Source organism: Homo sapiens, chromosome 14, assembly GCF_000001405.40.
Source record: "Homo sapiens chromosome 14, GRCh38.p14 Primary Assembly".
NCBI lineage: Eukaryota > Metazoa > Chordata > Mammalia > Primates > Hominidae > Homo > Homo sapiens.
The window spans coordinates 57,752,166-57,775,390 of NC_000014.9; the positions used below are offsets into that span (position 1 = coordinate 57,752,166).

At 38.9% G+C, this 23,225-nt stretch overlaps 1 protein-coding gene across 14 annotated transcripts in view, besides 1 other annotated feature; it reads right to left on the reverse strand.

Annotated features, from left to right (window-relative positions):
• Positions 1–23,225, reverse strand: part of SLC35F4 (solute carrier family 35 member F4) — a 419,262-nt gene that overhangs the window by 188,246 nt on the left and 207,791 nt on the right. The window lies entirely within an intron of this gene.
• Positions 1,590–2,122: an enhancer, noted in NCBI's record as "NANOG hESC enhancer chr14:58220473-58221005 (GRCh37/hg19 assembly coordinates)". NCBI's record gives its function as "activates a minimal SCP1, AML or CMV promoter by ChIP-STARR-seq in primed H9 embryonic stem cells {active_cell/tissue: H9 hESC(primed)}" and the evidence as "EXISTENCE:reporter gene assay evidence [ECO:0000049][PMID:30033119]".

Sequence of the window (23,225 nt, forward strand, 5' to 3'; positions counted from 1 at the left end):
GGAGCAGGATGAAGGGTTTCTAAGAGAATTTCTTACATTTTAATGTTTGTGGTTTTATTGCACTAATTCCTTTATTTTTTCATAACAATTCCCCAACTTAAGAGTTCACTTGACTAAAGTCTAAGGTGTCACTTGAACTTGTTCTCCCCAAAGAGGACTCCTTAACCTTATTAACACCCTCTCCACCCTCCCTTGCTCCAGCTCCAGCTGATTGGAAGAAAGTAACTTGAGTCCATCGGTCGGCTCTGCTAGGACACTTGATGTGGAGATGGAAAGCCCTGAGGTTTTTTTTTTTCTTTTTTTTCTTTTTTTTTGAGACGGAGTCTTGCTCTGTCGCCAGGCCGGAGTGCAGTGGTGTGATCTCGGCTCACTGCAACGTCCGCCTCCTGGGTTCAAGCTGTTCTTCTGCCTCAGCCTCCCGAGTAACTGGGACTACAGGCGCACACTACCATACCAGGCTAATTTTTGTATTTTTAGTAGAGATGGAGTTTCACCACGTTGGCCAGGATGGTCTCAATCTCCTGACCTCATGATCCACCCGCCTCGGCCTCCCAAAGTGCTGGGATTACAGGCGTGAGCCACTGCACCTGGCCGGAAAGCCTTGTCTTTTGTAGGGAGCCAAAATGGTCTTCACCCATGAGGGTCTGAAACAGCCATTTCCTATTGTGTTTAAGAAACACTGACACCTCAGGAAAGCACAAATGAACCTGCTGTTGCTACAGCAGAAGCAGGAGAGTAGGTGTGTCACTACCTGGGGAAGCAAGTAAAAATGCCTCCTTAACGGGCAGTCATGTGACCAGGGCTCTCTCTACTAACTCTCACATTGCTACTGATATTCTCTTCACTCCTCCCTCAGGCGTCAGGATGCTCAGGGGATTGGCTTTAGTACTGAGAACTGCCGGGGAGAGAAGAGAGATTTTGCTTTCAAGGCACAGCCACATGTTCATGTTGGGGCTGCGCCTGTGGCCTCATTATGATATGCACTATTTCTTGGGTGTTCTGGTAGTCTTTGATGAAGTGGTGGTTTCTGCAAAGATGGCATGTATAATCTTCTTGGGATTGTGTTCAACTGTACACAAGCCCCGCTATCACTAGGACTCCTCCAAAGGAGCTGCCATGTTTTCCTTAGGCTGCCCAGTGATTAGATTCTCCTCTGGGTTGGATTCCCCAATACTTGGCCCAGTAAGTAGCACCTGGGCAGCCCCATGGCTCAAGGCTGTCTACCAGCTTCCCTGAGCCTTTACAGGGAGTAGTAGGGTCCTCAGAGGCACTCTTCTGTATCCTCTGAGGGCTGAGGAGATGAGTATGGGGGAGGGGTTTCCTAGATACCTCACACCATGGTCTTTTCAAACCCTGTTGGCACAAGCTGCTTTCTCAGGCCTTCACACATCTCTAGACCAGACGCAGGTGTTCCTTGATCTGTTTCCCACAACTCTCAAACTTCAGGGAAACCATGTAAAACTCCCCCTACCCACAAAGAATTCTCTTACATACCACTTTGAGGGCAGCACCAAGAAGGGACTGTGAGTTCTTCAGTTCAGGGAGCTGCTGCCCTTCTTCCAGGCTACCCAACCTCTTCCTGATTCTCCACCTGTCCCTCTTCTTTAGGGTGGAGGGGAGAGAATAGCTCCTATTTTCCATAAACACTGGCCTCCACCCAGGGTAGCTTCCTCCCATTTGGCCCTTTTCTTATATTGTCTAGGGTGGGAGGTATCTGTACCAGTTCTATATGATTGGTGTCTGAGCAGCCTTGAAAGAAAGCTCTCTGTCCCCAAATGGGACTGGCTCATGGGCAGCTCCATGGATTGAGAATGTGTGTGACAAAGATTTCCCTTCCCTCTCAGGATTAGTCCAATTACCAGGACAATAGGAAAAGCTCCTCTAAACATCCTCTACACAGAGATAAGATCCTTTACAATGACTAACCCAATGCTTTTTTTTTTTTTTTTTTTTTTTGAGATGAGTCTCAGTCTGTCACCCAGGCTGGAGTGCAGTGTGCGTGATCTCGGCTCGCTGCAACCCTGCCTCCCAGGTTCAAGCGATTCTCCTGCCTCAGCCTCCCAAGTGTCTGGGATTACACACACATGCCACCAGGCCTAGCTGATTTTTTTGTATTTTTAGTAGAGATGGGGTTTCACCATGTTGGCCAGTCTGGTCTCGAACTCCTGACCTCAGGTGATCCATCCACCTTGGCCTCCCAAAGTACTGGGATTACAGGCTTGAGCCACCACGCCTGGAAAACCAATGTATTTTAATGTTTGTAACTTAGATGTTGGTTCCCTTGCATCCTTCTTCCTGTGAGGTTTATCACCCAAGGGTATAAGAGAGCTCATACTTAGGAAAACTTCAACAAGACCACAGGTTTCACTCAGGAACCAGATTTATTAAATTATTCTAGCTCCCTTTCAAGGCCAGCTTTATGAGTGCATGACCCGTGCATGGAGCCTCCCGAGATTCGTAATAAGTTCTGAGAAAAGGGCCTTGCCTTTCATCTTGTATCAGGGCTCATGAATTATGTGGCCTTCCTGCTCCTGTTAGTGTATTCCACCTAGCACAGGCCTCACGGCCTCTGGGTATAGCAAAGATAAGAATCAGTGAAATAAAAAAGAAAGAAAAATCAATATTTTCTGGTCAGAGGAAACCAGGAGGCAGAGACACGTAGGAAAGCAACCTGACTGATCAGCAGTGTGTCCTGATTTCCCTTCTCTGACTGAAGCCCAGAGAGGGAAAGGAACATAATAAGATAGGTTTGGAGGAGCCAGATGGAAGAGGCTTCGATTCCTGGTCCTAATCAGAAATCTGGCAAGAGAGTCAGTCTGCCCCTTCTCAAAGGGAGCCCGGGCCCAGCAATGTAAACTTCGTGGTGTGGAATGGTTCAGCACAGGGGAGACGTGAAAGCTCTCTAGCCAGCCTGGCTCCTGTCCCATGTGGATTGGAGTCAGTTGTTCCCTTGACCCCCAGGAGCAGACTGGAAAGCCTTCAGTGAACCCAATTTAGTGGCCCTCCAATCCACCCTGGACCCACCACAGGGCTCGCTGTGTTGGCGGGGTTCTAGGCCAAGACTAGGGAGGCTTTCCAGTGGGGGGCCCTGACGAAGGGGCTTCAGCCACGGAAATCTAAATGACAATGCAGGGTGAATCTGAGAACCCTGGCACTCTGCCAGGACAAATTCCCATGAGCCCCACTCCTGTCATAACCCAGAGAGTAGGGAGCAGAAATAAGAGAGGCAAGCACAATCTAAAAGGCCTATTTTAAATGATGGTCTAATCAGTTCAATGTGGGGTTGACAACTGCTTCTTTCTCACTCCTTTGTAGGTGGGAGTTTGTGAGGAAGACTGGGTTGATCATAAACAAAAATAATATAATTAAATTTCTTTTGCACCCCTAAGCTCATAACACTGCTATATTTTATGTTGTCCCAAGTGCTCCATTGACATTTTAATTATGCATTATAAAAGAACACAAAGATAGGTGTAAGTCAAATCCACACATATAATCCCCAAGCTATAATTTAATAATTCCAAATTCTCTCTTACCAAAACTTATGCTTCATAGTTTACTGCAGTTTTACTAAATTGCTTTCACAAACATTGTCTTATTTGACCTCACAATGATCCCGCAAGGCAGGCAGGAAAAATAACATTGTCCACATTTCGCAGGGGACTCAAGGATGCTACATGACGTGTCTAAGGCCACAAAGCCATTAAGAGGCACTGCCAGCCTCGGAGGCCAGGCTAGACTCCATGTGCTCTTCTATCATACCACGCCATTCATACCTGTTCAACACGTTATTATCAGACTGCTACAACGTGACAAATGTAGTGATGCCTTACTCTTTCTGACTCTGCTAATCCACTTCCCTTCATGGTCAGGGAACTTTTGCAGGCAGTTGCCCTGTTTTCCATTTCATTAATTCCTGCTCTGACCTTTATTATTTCCTGCCTTCTGCTTACTTTGATTTCATTTTCTCCTTTTTTTCTAGTCTCTTAAGATGGAAGCTGAGATCTTTGATTAAAGCTTTTTTAATATAAGCCTTTAATGCCACACATTTTCCTCCAAATACTGTTCTAGCAGTGTCACACACCTTTTGGTGGTATTTTCCTTCATTTCATTTTCATTTCATTCAGTGCAAATTTCAAAGAAGACATTTTTGATCTATGGTTTTCTTTTTTTAGAAGTGTGTTAGTCTCCAAATATTGACAAGATTTTCTAGATACGTTTTTGTATCTGAATATTGGAATGAAATTCCAATTTAATTCCAATGGAAGCAGAAAACATACTCTGTATGACTTAAATCTTTTAACATTTCAGACTTATTTTTATTGCTAGGATATGGTCTATCTTGGTAAATATTCTGTGTGTTTTCTGCTGTTTTGTATATATAAATGTTATATAACATATAAATATTATATAAATATTGATTAGGTCAAGTTTGTTGATAATGTTGTTCAAGTCTTCTATATCCTTACTGACTTTTTATCTACTTGTTCTGTTATTTTTGTTTTTTGAGACAGGGTCCCACTCTGTTGCCCAGGCTGGAGTGCAGTGGCATGATCTTGGCTCCCTGCAGCCTTGACCTCCCAGGCTCAAGCAACCCTCCCATCTTGGCCTCCCAAGTAGTTGGGACCGCAGGCATGCACCACCAAATCTGCCTAATTTTTTTTTTTTTAATTTTTTGTAGAGACAGGTTTTCACCATGTTGCCCAAGCTGATCTCGAACTCCTGAGCCCAAATGATCCTTGAACCATGGCCTCCCAAAGTGTTGGGATTACAGGCATGAGTCACCATACTCAGCCTTGTTCTATCAATTATTTAGAAAGGGATACTAAAATATTTGACTATAATTGTGAATGTTTTCATTTCTCTTTGCAATTCTCTGAGTTTTTCCTTCATGTATTTTGAAGTTCTATTATTAGGTGCGTGAACATCTAGGACTTTTATTTCCTCTTGTTGAAATTGATCCCATTATCATTATGAAGTGACCTGCTTTATCTCTGGTGTTACTCTTTGCGCTGAAATTTTTGCTTGATATTAATATGGCCAGTGACATGAGTTTTCTATTGATTAGCATTTTCATGGTTTATGTTTTGCCACATTTTTACTTTTAATCTCTTTGTGCTCAAATATTTAAAGCAGGTTTCCTGTAACAGCATTATATTTAGGTCTTGCCTTTTTATCTAATGTGACAATCTTTCAATTGGGATCTTTATTTACCTTTCACTCTAACATGTTGATATTTGTTTTTATTAGCGCCATCTGTTCTATGTTCTGTTTTTCATTTTTTACTGTCATCTTTTAGATGAAGTGAGTTTTTTAAATGATTATATTTTATTTTCTTTTTTGGCTTATTAACTATAATTCTTTGTTGTTTTACTTATTTGTTTTTATCAGTTTCTTTAGAGTTCATGGTACATGTCTAAAACTTATTATAGTCTACCTTCAAGCAATAATATGTCACTTACATGTATACTAAGAACTTTACAATAATATACTTCCATTTATTTTCTCCCAGACTTTATGCAATTTTTATCATCATTCTTACTTCTACTTTTGTTATAAACCCCAGACTATACTGTTGTTTTTGCTGTTAACAATTATCTTTTAAAGATACTTAAAACATAAGAAACATTTTACATATTTAGTCACATAGTTACCATTTTCTGTACTCTTCATTCTTTTATGTAGATTTGGATTTCCACCTAGCATAATTTTTCTTCTGTTAGAGTCCCCTGTGGTTCTTCAGTTGACAAATTCTGTCAGCTTTGGTATGTGTGATAAAGGCTTTATTTCTCCTTCATTTAGAAATTTTTTTTCTGGGTATAGGATTATAGGTTCATGTGTGTGTGTGTGTGTGTGTGTGTGTGTGTGTGTGTGTGTTATTTTAATACTTTTAAAAACGTTGCACCACTGGCTTTTCACTTGCATTATTTCTGGTGAGAAATCTGCAGACACTCTTATTTTTTTCTCTGTAAATAATATGTTTTTTTGTCTCTGGCTGCTTTTAGATTTTCTCTTTATCAATGGTTTTGGACAATTTAATTATGATACGCTTTAGTGAAGTTTTCTTCATGTTTCTCATCCTTGAGATTTGTTTAGTTTCCTGGTTTGGTATATGTGAACACTAATTACCCATATATATGCCTTTTGAAATTGTTGTACAGTTGAGTAATACTCCATTACTTTATTTTTTTCTTAGTCTTTTTTCTCTGTATGTATCATCTTGGATAGTTTCTATTGTTATAACTTCAAGTTGATGCATATTATCTTCTGTAATATCTAATTTGCCAATAATCCTATTCAGTATGTTTTTTATCCCAGATATTATAGTTTTCTCTATGATTTGATTCCAGTCATATATATATATTCCATGTCTTAACATTGTCAATATTTCTTCTAGCTTTTCAAATATATGGAATATAGTTATAATAACTGTCTTAATGTCCTTGTCTGCTAATTCTAATGTCTGTGTCAGTTTTCTTAATGGATTTTTCTCTTTATTATGGGTCATATTTTTGCTTATTTTTAAGCGTGGTAATCTTTGACTAGATGCCAGGTGTTGTAAATTGTTGGACTTTGGATTTTTCTTTTACTGTAAAAACCCTTAACATGAGATATACTCATTAAAAAATTCTATATAATAAATTGCAATATTGTATAGAAGATCTCTAGAAGCTATTCTTCTTGCATAACTGACAGTTTATAATCATTGAACAGGAACTCTCCATTTCCCCCTCCGCCCAACCCTTGGAAACCACCATTCTATCCTCTTTCTATGAGTTTGACTATTATAAACACCTCATATAAGTGGAATCATGCAATAAATCTAATTCTGTGACTGGTTTATTTCACTTAGCATAATGTCCCCTGGAATCATCTATGTTGTTATATATGTCGGGACTTGCTTCTTTTTTAAGGCTGAATAATATTACTTTGCATGTTTATATCATATTTTCTCTATTCATCTACTGATGGACATTTAGATTGCTTTCCCCTCTTGGCAATGGTGAATAAAGCTGTAATAAATATGGGAGTACAGATAATTCTTTGATATCCTTATTTCAGTTATTTTGGTTATATACCCAGAAGTGTAACTGCTGGATCATATGGTAGTTCTATTTTTGATCTTTTGAGGGGCTGGGCATGGTGGCTCACATCTGTAATCCCAGCACTTTGGGAGGGTGATGTGAGTGGATTGCTTGAACCTAGGAGTGCAAGACCAGCCTGGACAACATGGTGAAACCCCATCCCTACACAAAATACAAAAATTAGCTAGGCATAGTGGTGCATGCCTGTGATCCCAGCTACTAGGAAGACTGAGGTGGGAGGATCACCTGAGCCCAAGAAATTGAGGCTGCCATGAGCTATGTTTGTGCCACTGCACTCCAGCCTGGGTGACAGAGCAAAAAAAGAAAAAAAAAATTCTTTTTTAGGGAACTGTATACTCTTTTACATAGTGGTTACATAGAGACATTTTACATTCTCAGTAGCAGTGTACAAGGTTTCCAATGTCTCCAAACTCTTGCCAACACTTATCTTTTGTTTCGGTCAGTGCTACCCTAATAGGTATAAGGTTTTGATTTGCATTTCCCTGGTGATTAGTAATGTTGAGCATCTTTTTATAAAACTGTTGACTATTTCTATATCTTCTTTGAAGAAATCTCTATTCAAGTTCTTTGGCCATTTTAAAATTAGATTATTTGCTCTTTCTTTGCTTGTTTTTTTTTTTTGTTTGCTTTTTGCTATCGAGTTTAAGGAGTTTTCTAATATATTTTGAATATTAATTCTTTATCAGATATATGACTTGCAGTTCTTTTCATTTCTTTTTACTCTGTTCATTGTTTCTTTTTCTGTGTCACTTTTTAGTTTGATGTGGTCCTGTTTACTTATTTTTGCTTTTGTAGCCTGAGATTTTGGTGTGATATCCAAAAAATCATTGCCAAGTCCAATGTCAAAGAGCTTTTTCCCAGTTGTTATCGTCTAGGAGTTTTATAGTTTTGGGTCTTGCATTTAGGTCTTTTTTTCGCTTTGAGTTCATTTTTGTGCATGTTGTAAGATTAGGGTCCAATTTCATTATTTTGCATGTGGAAATCCAGTTTTCCCAACATAATTTGTTGGCAATATTATTTTTTCCCCATGTGTAACATGGCACCCTTTTTGAGAATAAGTTGACTACATATGCATTGATTTATCTCTGGACTGTCTATTTTATTCCATTAGTCTAAATGTCTGTTTTTATGCCAATACCATACTGTTTTTATTACTGTACCTTTATAATATATTTCAAAATTAGCAAGTGTGAGGCCTCCAGCTTTGTTCTGGCTATCCAGTATCTTTTGTGTTTCCATACAAATTTTATAATTGTTTTTTCTATCTCTATTGTGTGCTGGATATTTTTGTATTCCTACAAATACACTTGAGCTTTTTTTCTGAGACATAGTTCAGGTGCTTAAAAACAGTTTATCCTTATTTGGGTCTTGCTTTTAAGATTTATTAGTCAGTATCAGAATAGCATTTAGTGAAGCAATAATTATTTCCTATTATTGAAATAAGATCCTAATGAATATTCTCCCAATGCCCCTTAAATTATGAGTTTTTTTCTGTCCTGCTGGTGTGAATAAGCATTATTTCCAGTACTGTGTGAGTCTCAGATACCAATAATCATGTAAGAAGGCTCTTTCCAGGGCGCTGGGTAGTTTCCTCACATGTTTATAATCATCAATACTTTTTGAATACTCAAGACAGGTGCTCAGAAGATCTCTCCATTTCTCTCTCTCTCTGTATAGTTCTCTCCTCTCCGGCACTCTACCCACTGACATCTAACCACATTGGTTTTTCTACATTCTTAGCTCTATCTCTTCACCTCAGGGAATCAGACTCTGTGTGAGTCCCCTCTGCTTGTGCTGCACACAGGAAACTCTCTCTCCAGGAATAAGCTGGGGTGACTGTGAGACTTGGACCATCTGTTTCCCATCATTCAGAGATTATTGGCCTTCATTGCCTGAAATTCAATGTCTTGAAAACAGCGGTTGCATATATTTTATCCAATTTTTAATTGTTTTAGGTAGAAGGATAAAGCTGGTCTCCATGACCTCATCTTGGTCAGAAGCAGGCATCTTTTCTGATCAATCTTGATGTACATATCTGCAAGCGTTCTCTTGGCAGGGGAAACTGTTTACTTTCTAGAATATCTACTATTATTTTAAAAATCCTACAACTAGGTGAAATGTAAAGGGATAAAGAATGATAATGCCTATAACAAGGAAAATTGTAAAAATACATTATAAAAGTCTACATAATGAAGACTTAGAACAAAAATTGTGTACAAAGTTAAGTTTTAGGAAGAGTAAGTTATTACAATAATTTCTGATATGCACTGATTTGTAAAATATCAAAGCTCCCTACTGTACATTAAACTATCTATTTTGTATAGGTTTTTATACATTTATTACCACATAAATAATTCTCTCACAGAGACATGAAGTCAATAAAGCAGATTTTAAAAAAATAGAAAACACTATCAGCGCATATTCTTAACCAGAGACTAAAGGCATTTTTCCTTAAATAAAGCATAAAATTGATTTAAGATTAGCGCAAAAGATCTTGTGAAGGGAACTATTTTAGCAGGAGAATACAATAACACAAATGTTGAATGACCCTGGCAAGAGGGAATACCACTAATATTTGAGTGTTCTTGGTTGTAAGCAACAGAAACCTTCTCATGTTACTTAAAAAAAAAGATGGAATTTGTTAAAAAGGTGTTGAGAGGCTCACAGAACTGATGTGAAAGCTGTAGTGCCTATCTAGGAAAGCAGGCTGAAAACAAGGAATTTGGGAGGTTAGAGCTACTGCTAAAACATTCCATAGGTCACAGCTGGAAACACCCCTACTCCCGGTGAAATGAATTCAAACCAGGGCTACTTTTTTATATTACTCAATCAAGTTTCAAAGTCTTGGGCAAGAGCATTAAGTTGGATAAATCTAATTCATGTGCCTGCATTCCTGCTGCTAGGATTGAGAGAAAACATGAAACGCTGCCTCCCTCCCAAACTCTCCCAGTGATAGATTCCCTGACTAAAGAGAATAGGTTCAGGTGCTGCACAGCATAATAAAACAACAAGTTCCTCTATATCTATCATTCTGGAACTTTCATTTTGTTCTGTTTGAAAAAATTGTACAAGACTTGGACAAGAAGCAAAGGGATTAGTGAGAACCCATTCTATGTAGTGCTAGATCTTATCTAGCAGGCTGATTTTTCTAGGGAATTTTACCTTTATTCACCTTGCTACTTGCTATTGATTAGGATATTTTACAACTCTGTAAGGGTAGATACTAATTGTAGAAAACAGAGTGATGCCAATTGCTATGGTTTGAGTGTCCCCATCAAAACTCATGTTGAAATTTAATTGCCATTGTGACAGTATTTAGAAGTGGGAACTTTAAGAAATGATTAGGCCATGAGGGCTCTGCCCTTATGAATGGATTAATGCCATTATCATGGGAGTGGTTTAGTTATCATGGGAGTGGGTTCTTGATAAAAGGATGAGTTCAGCGTCTCCCTTTCCTCCTCTTTCTCTTGCATGCTTCCTCACTATATGATGCCTTCTACCATATTATGATGCAGCGAGAAAGCCCTCACCAGATGCAGCCCCTTGACCTTGCCAAATAAGCTTCTTTTTAAATATGTTACTCAGTCTGTGGTATTCTCTTACAGCAGCAAAAAAAGGACTAAGAAACAAATGATTCTTGTCTTGTAGCAATGCAAAAGAATTGGTTCAGTAATACAAGTAATGTTTATCTAAAAGAAAAGAGAGCCCCAACACTGTAGTTTTACTGTCAAAAAGTTTTACTATTTACTTATAGAACATTAACCAATTTTAAAATCTAAATTATCAATCTTACTCATTGTTTGAGTGAATATAAGCATTTTAGTTTCCCCAGTTCTCTTTGAACTAGCTTTCCCATCTTGCTAGTTCCATCATTAATGTGTTAAGTTTTAGCTATGCATTCACTTTATATGTGTAAGAATCATGTCCTTTTGAAACTTTTTGTAATTTATACTTTGATGATGCTTTCTGCCAATATCAATATACTCAGCTTCAAGAGATACCTTGATGTTTCAAGTTTCTCTAGCTTATTTGTTGACAAAAGGTATAAAGATAAAGAAATTTGTTTTCCTTAGCACAACTAAGACATACTAGAGAATATTTTTAACTCATACAGATATGAGGTAAAAAGAATATCAAATATTCAGAGGCATAATAATACAGTGTTTAAGAGTGCAAACTCCAGAGTCAGAATAGTTGATGTTTATTGGTTTTGTAACTTAAGATTACAAGTTACTCAATCTTTCTTTGCCTCAGTTTCCTCTTCTATAAATTTCTGATAATGTCTATTAAGCTGTTTTGAGGATTAAATGACTTGGTGCCTAGAAAGAACTTAAAGTGGTGCCTGAAACACAGAAAGCAGTATACAATTATAGTTAATATCATTAATGTTTATGCTTCAGGTTTACAAAGCACAGATGTATAATCCTTTAATAGCCAATGGTACCACTTTTCAAACACACAGCTTTTCTGCCATTCCATATTATGGTAGCTTGTATTTTCCAAAGATAGATCCAGTGATATTTCTCATCGCATTTACTGCTTTAGAATGTGAATGTGGTACACCCTTGCCAAGAAGTGTTACCAAGAAGTGTTATCTAATTAACCTACCCATTAAACCTCAGCAGACTTTAGTGACTACTTGACCAATAAAATGTGACACAAGAAACATTCTGAAACTTCCAGGTTAGATCACAAGAAACCTTGCAACTTCATCTGTATCTGTTGAAACACATGCTGTTGGGATGCTCTTTTTTAGAATCCAGCCTCCATTTCCTGAGACGCCCAAGACACAATTTCTAGCCAAGAGCCAACATCAACTGTCAGCCATGTGATTGAGTAATTTTATATGTCCACCCCATCTGAGCCTGAAGTTTCATGACAGATTCCAAGCAACAGCCTCCCAGCTGAACCTAGCAACCCATAGAATCATGAGAGATAATAGTAAATTGTTGTTTTTAAGCTGTCAGGCTTTAAGATGATTTGTTATGTAGCAATAGTCAACTAACACACATACCCTTTTGGTCTCCTTGCTGTAGGTTCTAAAAAAAAAAGAGAGCCACTTTGGTTTATCTATCTGTAAGTTGATCTACCCAAACACTATGCTGCAAGCAAAGGCAAATTAAAATTCTAGCTGTTTCAAACTGCCAAGTCTTCTTGGATGTGATCTGGACAGAATATACATTCACAGCTTAGTTACAGTGATTTTCAGCACAAATATTTGAAAATAATTAGGTCTTTCAAGTGGTTCCCAGCTTAAACTCTTCCCTGTCTTCAGGAATTCTAAATTGCCTTTTTATCAAAGTAACACTGGCTGCTACTAAGCTCCAGGATTTTTAAAACCCTACATGGGTAAAAACAGAATAATATAGCATTTAAATATTGTAAATGGTTTTATGCCACTTTAGGAAAATGTAAATACTGAATTGTATGTGTGTGTAGCAGATGACCTTGGTTTAGAGCAAGAAAAGCCAATGGACCTTCAGTTATGCAAAAGTATAACTATGATTACTTTCTAAAAATATGAAGGTTTGAGGCTGCCACTCCAAACAACTGAGCGTTCTGTACAACAATGTAAAGTTTTGTCTTACAGGAAAGCAGAGGTATAGCTTTGTAGATAATATTATCTTTAAAGTAGTGATTTTCAAACTTGAAACCACTTTTAAAATAAAAATTATTGGAAATCCTCAGCACTGTTTTAAATTATTATAAAATTATTTAAACATGTATAGACACAAAAGAAATATACATTGAGTGCCAACTTAATCTCAGGCACTGATCTAGGCGCTGCTAACAGACTATGTCCCCGAACTCAGGAAGTATATAATCTGGTGGAACTATGATTATAAATGGAGCACACAACTTACTTTCCACACATGGTTTTATTCAAGATAGGAAAATACAGATTTGGGAAAATGCATTAATGCTGTGCTATTGTAATCTGATGTCTTTGAAAGGCTAAAGGGCAAGATGTAGATAGGAGTGGAGATTCTCTTGGAGAGATTAGATGCTCGTGCTGTGAACTGTCCTGAAAAAGGGCTAAGCCAGGGGTCAGAAATGGGGATTCAGAAAGTAGGCCTTACAGGCAAGATAAAGATCCCCTCTCTACAGGTTCCCGTCAGTCAGATCTGGAGTATGAGGCAAAAAGTTGGCCACAAAGCCCATTCTGCATTGAGAACCACAGACACGAGCATTTTAAAAACCAATAAAAATGTTTGAAAATTGAGGAAAAATTATTAGTTCCAAAATTTGAAGACTGGTAAATGAATATTAATAGACGTTTGATTAAATGCCTACAAAATGTAACATTACATCAACAGTATTAATTTTTAAAAATTGTATTCATTCAAATTACATTTAAAAATAATTACTGGGTCAGATTATCTCATTTTACAAGAATTCTCAGATATGCACAATAGCCGAGATATCATTGCCAATCATAAATTAAATGAGTTGCCAGATAATTTCCAAAGGAAACGTAAAAATCCACTCATATAGTCAATATGAAATTAATATGGGCTATAAGTATGTGTCAAAGCATTTGATAGGAAGTGGGGTATGGTCTCTAAAAGTTTGAGAACTTACAGGCAACAAAGATCTTAAATGCTCAGCAAAGGCCTGGTTTCCCAGAGCCCTTTCAGCAATGGTAAGTGCTTCCCTAGCCATGTTGAAGCAGGCCACGTATTAAGTGAGGAGAGGTATCAGTAAGAGGCCACCGGAGCCACTGTAAACCCATAGACTGCCTTTGTGTGATTTAGAAGAAGGTGACCCCCTTTAGGTAAATGAAGCCCCAGCCAGGGTACAGCTCTTGATGAGTTAGTTGGGAGTAGAATGGGTTTCAGCTCCTATTTGCCTATAGCCCAGGAGGCACATAAAGGCTGAAATCCATCCTACTCACTACTCATCAAGAGCTGTACCTCTTTATTCAGAATACAACATGTACAAGCATTCAGGATAGCCATGAATAGTATTCTGTGGAAATGCTTCAGTTTGTGTAGTAACTGTTGATTACCCTGTGGCTCTACTTCCTTCTCATGGTCCTGAAACTTCAGTTAAGTATTCATGGAAAGTTTTGGCCTGGTCACTACTTTGCTGTAGGAAATGGAGGGGAAGGATTTGTTCCACTCTTGGGTCAAAAAGAAGAGGAAGATTCCCTGTCAGAACAGTGGAAATGAAGATAGTTGGGTGCAGTAGAGTGAGAATATGGCTCTCATTGTCAGCCAAGGCAGGCTAGGCCAGAGCCTAAGAGCACAGAAAGCCATTCCTGAGCAAAAGACAGCAAACCCTAGAACCCTTAAAGTAACTGGGGGACATTTGTGAGCACAGTGTATGACAGTCAGGTGCCTGAGGCTTGAGCACTATACATTGGGTACTTAAAATGAAATTCAAATTTATTTTATAGTCATAGGCTAGTGCCAAGTCAAAATACTAAGCTATAGCTTCTCTCCTTCACAGAAGCTCTAGTCTAACAAGAAATTCAAGCAGAATTAAAAGTGTTCAATAAAACATAAAAATAAAAACAAATATTGCCTTCTCCACTTAAGCTTTAATATATCAATAATTACCTTAAATGTAAATAGCCCAAATATACAAATCAAAAGACAGAGAGTGATAGATTATATAATAAAACACAGCCCATCTATATGCTGTTTACAAGAAATTCACTTCGAATTCTACAAAAAGGAGTGTATACACTAATATCTAATAAAGTGAATGAGAAAAAGAGGCACATTACTTAATAATAGAAGGATCAATCCATCAGGAAGACATATGATTCTAAATATGTGCTCACCAAACAACAGAGCCTCAATATATATAAAACAAACAGATGGACCTGAAAGAAGAAACTGAAAAATCCACAGTTAGAGTTGGGGATTTTGACACTCACCTCTCACTAACTGATAGAAGTACTAGACAGAAAATCAGCAAGGACATAGAGGATCTGAACAATACAATCAACAAATATGATCTAATTGGCATGTATAGAACTGTACAGTCAATAACAGCAGATTTCAGTTCTTTAAATTTGTTACATGGTCCTATATTCTGGCCATAAAACAAACCTAACAAATTTAAAGAATTAAAATCATACAATTTTTTCTGATCAAACTAGAAATGAGTAACAGAAAGAAAATGACATAATCTCTAAATATGTGGACATTAAACAACATACTTTTACATTATGGATCAGAGACAGTCTCGAAGAAACTTTTAAAGTACTTAGAACTGAAATGAAAATACAACATATCAATATATGTAGGATACAGTTAAAGCAGTGTCAAGAGATAAATTTATTGTACTAAAATGCTTATATTAGGAATGCAGAAAGGTCTCACATCAACCAAGAAACTAGAAAAGGAATAGCAAAATAAATCCAAGCAAATATAAAGATGGAAATAAAGATAATAGAATAAATAAAATTGAAAATAGGTAAATAATAAGAATCAATTGAAACAATCTTGATCATTGAAAAAAATCAAGAAAGTTAATAAAACTCTAGCAATACTGGCAAAAACAGAGAAAAGATACAAATCACCAAGATCAAGTATGGAACAAAGGATATACTAAAAATCCTTCAGCCATTAAAAGAATAGTAAGGGAATCCTACCAAAAACTATATACACATACGTTCAACAACTTAGAAGAAATGGACCAGTCTCTCAAAAACTTTTACAACTCTATCAAGGTGAACTAGATAACACAAATAGTCCTATTACCATTACAGAAACTGAATTCATTATTTAAAAGTTCTTGGAAAAGAAAGTTTTAGGTTGATGTTCACTGGAGAATTCTAGATGTTTTAAACACCAATTTTCCATAATCTCTTCCAAAAAAATAGAAGAGGAGGAAATATTTTCTAACTCACTTTGTGAGGCCAGTGTTATCATGACACCAACACGAGATAAGACAATATACAAAAGATGAAATATGAATTTTTCCAGATTTCCCATTGGGTTTACCTACATCAAAATGCTTTTTTCAGTTTATCCAATAAATATGGGGATGTATTTTTAAAAACGTATTTGCCTTCCTAACTTAGACTCCTGGTTCCACTTTTCAGAGGAAACTATTTCTAAGAGAATGCAATGAGCATTCCCTTTTTAGTCAAAGAGGTAAGAAAAGAGATGTCTTTCCAAAATGCAACCCTGTTCTCCAAAAGTGTCCTGTGAATAACAAGGCCCACAGAAGAGTAAGCAGCAAAATATACTGGGGGTGAGGCTTCAAAAGTTAATCTCTTATCTTTGATCAGAAGTCCTCGTGGATTCACTAACCAAGCCTCCATGAACCGCTCCTACAAATCCAAATTCTCGAAATAATTCTTCCTAAAGAAAACCCTTTGCATTAATAGCAGATCACAATTTCTCTTTATTTGCTTGCATTTGGGGTTAACATAAATTATATATGGAATGACAGAGGAAAAGAAAACTTAAATATCCCAGCCATGGGGATACTATTAAAAGAGTCAACCTTGGGTTCTTGGTTTTTTTTTTTTCTTCTTTCTGAGACGAAGTCTTGCTCGGTCGCCCAGGCTAGAGCGCAGTAGCGCAATCTCGGCTCACTACAATCTCTGCCTCCCAGGTTCAAGCAATCCTCCTGCCTCAGCCTCCTGAGTAGCTGAGACTCCAGGTGTGTGCCACCACGCCAGGCTAATTTTTGTATTTTTAGTAGCGATAGGGTTTCACCATGTTGGCCAGGCTGGTCTCAAACTCCCAACCTCAACTGATTTGCCTGCCTTCACCTTGGTTCCCATTTTTTAGTTGCTCTAAAGAGTACTGTTTGTAAGGAATTTCCAGAAAACATCACCCTTAACTTCTGAGAGCAAGGCAGCTAAACTATCCCAGGAATATTAGCATGAGCCCAAATACTTAAGAGCAACCCTACTAAGAACAATGCACAGCTTTTCCTAATAAGCCATTTTACTGCTCTGCATCACTACCCTGTTAATAGCCTCCAGCACCCGTGCTGGGCTTCCATTAGCAAGAACAGCCATGGGCTCAACTCACCCATGGGTCTGAGCACCCTCCTTTTCAAAATAATTGCTTTGAGCTCAGCCTCAAGACCTAACGTGCATGTTTTCCTTGCAACTGCCTCTATGCAAAACCAGGTGAATTTATTCTCTGAAAAAAAGACATGCCAGAATGTTAAACATTCTTCCAAAGAAATACAAAATTGGGGTGTGAATCTGTGCAGGTGCAATCAGCCAAAACCTCATAAAATAATGCCATAATTTCAGTGTCACAAATCCATCATCTTAACTATTTATTTTAACATTTAATGAATGGAAACCTGCCTTTCTCATTTTAGAAGATGAATTCATAAATTCTAGTAAAAATTATCATCTCTGAAGAGAGGCTGCACAGGCCCACAAAGACAGGCATTCAACCAGAAAAACTTAGTCAGTGCTAGAAGAGCCACATCATCCCCTGCTACAGGGCCCCTATGGAAAGTATGGAAAAGTGGACAAAGGATACTTTATACAATGTTTCTTGGGTGCTTAGGGATTCTGTAACAGACATGTACTTCAGCTTTTGAAAGAAATGAAAATGAATTTTCTGCTTGTTTCTTTATAAGACCTGATATAAGGGTTTTAAATGGATTTTGATCACAATTTTTCACAGCCTGAGGGTGAGCATTTTTTGAAAAAGAGTGGTCATATTTTCAATATTTTACATATGCTTTGCATTAATCATTTAAAACACCATCTGCCTTCTTTGCCAAGGGCCCCAGTTCTGAATTTAGAAAAGAAAGTACAACCAAAACCCCACAGAAACAAAATTTAAACTCTGTTAAGAACACTAACCCAGAGATTCATTCTGTGTACAGTAGAGCAGGGTTCCAGGTGACTCCTCTGGATCAGTGAGATGGAAGCTGGCTCTCCACTAAGGGAAGAGCCCATTAAAATGCTGTTCACCATGGGCATGGAAGTGCACTCAGAGGGCCATTCCAACAGAGAAGCACCGAGGTCACGGGGCTCTTCCTGTCCGACAAGTGATGGCAGTGCCAGGTTGAGGGTTACTAAATGACAGGATATCTGTCTATGGTCTATTTCTGTGTAATTGGTAGTATGCCAGCTTGCAGCATTTGAGGTTGTTTCGTATGTATGTTGTAGGGGTCGGGGAGTTGTTGGGCATAGTTTGTTTTGCTTTCACAGTTCAAAGGTCAGAAATACTGTATTTTCAGCTTAGTCCTCATCACTGAGATAAGGGCTATACTATCTCAATGAACAAGTCTCCCAGAAAAAGCAAGCATAAAATCAAGCATTGTGAGGAGTGGAAAAAAAGACAAGGGCAGGGCTTAAACTCTTGGACTATTTTTCACCTTCACAGCCTCTCTCTTCCTTGGGAGCTCTCCAAGGACCCTGAACTGTGAAGGAGGGTTTTTCCAGTGCAGGGGTGGGCAACTGGGATTTGCATATTTGTGATTTGCAAGGATTTTCAAGTCAAATTTCATATGTGCCTTTCTCTGTGGCCAGGAAAAGAATACAAGTCTTGGTATTTTTCTAATCCAGTCAATGCTTGGAACTTTCAGGACAATTTATTATCGTGTAAGTTACAGTATAGGATAGTACAATCTTGGCTTTGCATTTAAAACCATGGGAAGGATTTATACCCAAAACCCTATTTGGTCCTGCATACTCAGGGGATAAGATTTCTTCACTTCAAATGTCTTAATATGAAAAACTGAGGCACTAGTATTTCACATGTCAAAACTTCACTGGCCAATTGTAAATTTCAAATCAAGCCTTCCCCCATGGAATTCTCACAGGAACTCTGTCTCATAACCAATTTCTGTATCATTTCAGGGCCTGACTGCTTTTTTAGCATAGATGAATTCTTTTGGAGAGTATAATTTCACCTCATATTCTTCTAAGGACTCTTCTACACCTCTAGTCCCTCCAAGTCCATTAAGTGAGATCATTTTCCTCACTCTGCACTTATTAATTGTACACTTACCTGACTGAAAATCTCACCTCACCCACTTCACCTCCATTTGTGTTCCTACATCATAGTTCCGTTTAATATGTCTAAAAACTCATTTCTCATGTGCAGTCTCAAATTTCTCTGCCTTCCATCCATAAGTGGGGCTGAAAATATGCTCCACAGGTTACAAATGACTTTGGACCAAAGGTGCTGTGAAGCTGTAATCAAATTGCATAAATACTACAGTACCATGAATAAAGAAACTAGCAGGCGATATTTTCTGTCAACATAAAAAAGAAGGTTAAAACTTGGCTCTATACACATAGAATCTGCTACAAATTGTTTTCCTGAAGTTATAGGTTGTCACTTCACAAATTTTTTCAACTTTTAATTAATTAATTTATTTACTTATTTATTTATTTGAGACAGTGTCTCGCTCTATTGCCCAGGCTGGAGTGCAGTGGTGTGATCACAGCTCACTGCAATCTCTGCCTTCTGGGCTTGAGTGATCCTCCCATCTTAGCCTCCTGAGTAGTTGGGACTACAGGCATTTGCCACCACACTAACTTAAACAAAATATTTTTTGGAGAAACAGGATCTTTCTGTGTTGTCCAGGCTGGTTTTGAACGCCTGCGCTCAAGCACTCTTTCTGCTTTGGCCTCCCAAAGTGCTGGGATTGCAGGTATAAGCCACTGTGCCTGGTCTGAATACTTTTTTTTTTAAAGCATAGCTATCTTTTGTAGATAAGGGTATCTGTGCTTCACCATATGTTCTCATAGGTAATTTCACTTTGCATAGTATGTGTTATCTTTGACATTATAATCCCCTTTCAAATCCTTACTTATCCCTGTGTCTTCATGCACAACTACACATCGAAATAGGAAAACATATCTGTGAAGCAACATCAAAAAAATGCACTTGAGGCTTAATATAATATGCTGTGCTATACATGCTTTTAGCCACTTTTTCACTGTCAGAAAGCAAAATGCCATGACTTAGCCGAAGAGGAGAAATTTTGCTCAAATTTTCTCCTCTGGATTATGGAAGAAAATATAATGACAAATGTCAAACTCAGGGAATAATTCCTGGAATAAAATTCATATAGTGAAACCAGACAATTAACTGCTTTCCTGAAGCCAATTATGTATGCTAAATAGCCTTCACTGTTTTTTTTGTTTGTTCTTTTAGTTTTTATTTTTTTTGATTAGGGGGTACATGTGCTTGTTTGTTATATGGGTATATTGCATACTGGTGGGGATTGGGCTTCTAGTGTATTTACTACCCAAATAGTGAACATTGTACCTAATAGGTAATTTTTCAACCTTCACCCCACTCTCACTTTTCTCCTTTTGGAGTCCCCAGTGTCTATTATTTCCATCTTTATATGTACCCATTGTTTAGTTTCCACTTATAAGTGAGGACATGTAGTATTTGATTTCGGGCTTTTGAGTTAGTTCACTTAGAACAATAGCCTCTAGTTCCATCCATGATGCTGCAAAGGATGATATTTCATGGCTGCATAGTATTCCATGGTTTATATATCACATTTATTTATTTATTCAACTGCTGATGGACACTTAGGTTGCTTCCATGACTTTCATATTGTGAATAGTGCTGCTGTGAATGTATGAGTACCGGTGTCTTTTTGATATAATGATTTCTTTTCCCTTAGGTAGATAACCAATAGTGGGATTGCCAGATCAAATGGTAGTTCTATTTTTAGTTCTTTGAGAAATCTCCGTACTGTTTTCCATAGAGGTTGAACAAATTTACATTCCACCAACAACATATAAGCATTCCCTTTTCTCCATATCCATGCCAACATCTGTTGTTTTTTTTGACATTTTAATAGTAACCATTATGACTGAGGTAAGGTATCTCATAATTTCTCTGATGATCGGTGATGTTGAGCATTTTTTCATGGGTTTGTTGGCTGCTTGTATTTCTTCTTTTGAGAAATGTCATTCATGTCTTTTGCCCAGCTTTTAATGGGGTTATTTGTTTTTATTCTTGCTGAGTTGAGTTCCTTGTTGATTCTGGACATTAGTCCTTTGTCAAAGGCATAATTTGCAAATGCACTGACTAGTTTTTGTTGAGGTATGTGCTATGCAGATGTACTGTACACATATACATAACTCACCAACTCTACAAGGAAGTTATTACTGAACCCATCTTATGAATGAGGCAAATAGCATCATCTATTCCATTGAGATCTTACAGTTAATATGGGACAAAGCCAGTAAACAGTTAAGTGTTACATTTAGTACGGAATAAAGCCAAAATTCACACCTAGGTCTGTCACCAAGGTCTGTGCCATTTCTCTCTGCCACTGTGAAGAGATATATTTTATTGGGAAAATTAGCCTACTATATTTGGCTACAACTTTTCCAGTGTAGATCCTGGTCACTCAACTTTAAAAAACAACAGGCTGCATAAAAATAGATTTTTTAAAAGCAGAAAATAGACAAAAAAAAAAGGCTCTAGAAAAACAATTGTTTAACATGACCTGAAACATGAAAATAATTAACAGTTCATCAGTTGTTTATGGCAATTGCCCAGGTACTTCAGGTTACTGTGAAAGTACAGTCACTTCCATGTCATCCCCAGATCTCTAATAGAATCCCTCAGAAGTTCGTACTAACTCTAGGCCCTGAGAAATTGGTATGCACTAGTCACAGGAGCCCATGTATTAAATTCGTGCCACAAGAAAAATATCTCCCAGACCTTGCCTTCCTTTAGGAATACAAGGAGAAAATTATAAAATGTTTAGTGGAGTTCAGAAAACAAAGCAATCCAAATAAGACCAGTATACCTTGACAATCTTTGATACACCATCCATGTATTAAAAAGTAGTGCAAGTGGAAGACTTCTCCAGGGTTGCCTATGAGATGCAGCCAGGAGGAACATCTCCAAACGAGGGAAGGGGACATAGGGATGACTGGCAGGCTACTAGCAGATCTTTAGAGGGAAGGCACTGAGAGTGAACAGAGAGGGAAGACACAGATGCTGGGCTGAAAGGGGAGGAAGCTGGAAACCCTGCATGGGGCTACCACACCCCAGGACTTGTTCCTGGCCCCCACTGACTCCTGTGGGAGGAGTGAGTTGAACAGGCAAGGAGAAACCCACTCTCACCCTGAGCCTCTGAATGCCCATGCAGGAGACCTCTTGACCACCATGGACACTTGTGTTGGCATGGAGAGCTTCTTAGAGAAGTGGTAGGGGCAGAACTCCAACTGGTGCAGAGTCCAGAGGGCTTAGTGTGAGAGCATCTGTAGTGCAGCACAACCAGGGATGCCCATCCCCCTAGGCTCGACTTGCTCCTATGGGAGACTTTAGCCCTAGGGGAACTGTCTGACCTGAACCCTGCGAGGTAGTCTTGCCCATGAGACCGGGCAGTCCAATCTGAGAACCCCATAGTCTGCTGGCCTTTCTCAGGGCCTCCAGCCTGGCCACACCTGCTTGCAGTACAGCCCCTGGGGGCCTGCATCATAGCTTCTGTGCTGGTGGACTGCACCTGACCGGAGCTCCAGCAGAATGCCCCTGCAAACACTCACCAGCCCACCTGCTCCCTCCTCCATTGCAGCCTCCCCTGTGCCACTTTGCCTGCAAGCACTTGCCCAGAGCCACATCCTGCATTGCTTTGAAGGCATGTGTGTGTGCCAGCAGATCTTGCCTTCCCTTCCTGCCAGCACGTTTGTGCATGTGCACCACGACAAGCCACTGCTGCCAGCATAAGTGCACTCTGCTCTTCTACCCCCCACCACACCACCATTGTCATTGGAACCTTATCAGACATGGAGCCTGCCAGCACCGCCCCCACCAGCACTCCACCATAGTGGCCACACTGCCACTAGTGCAAAACAAGGCATGGAGAACAGTGGACCCAACGACCTCCTGAGTGAATGCACACAGAGTGTGCAAACAGTCCTGTGCCCACCAGCACCCCACCCCTGTGCTAACACCATCACCAGTGCACATGTGCACACAGTAGCAGGCGGGGATGCCAAAACCCAAGCCATGCTACCACCACCACTGCTGGGAACACCTGCATGGAGGCCAGAACCCCAGCACCCACTAGCACCCTGCTGCAGCCGATAAGTGTGCACCTCACCACACTGCTGCTGCCACTGCTGCTGGCACCTGTAAACAAGGACAAATCCTACTGCTACTGCCCTATGAAGTGTTTTGGCTGGCACCAGCC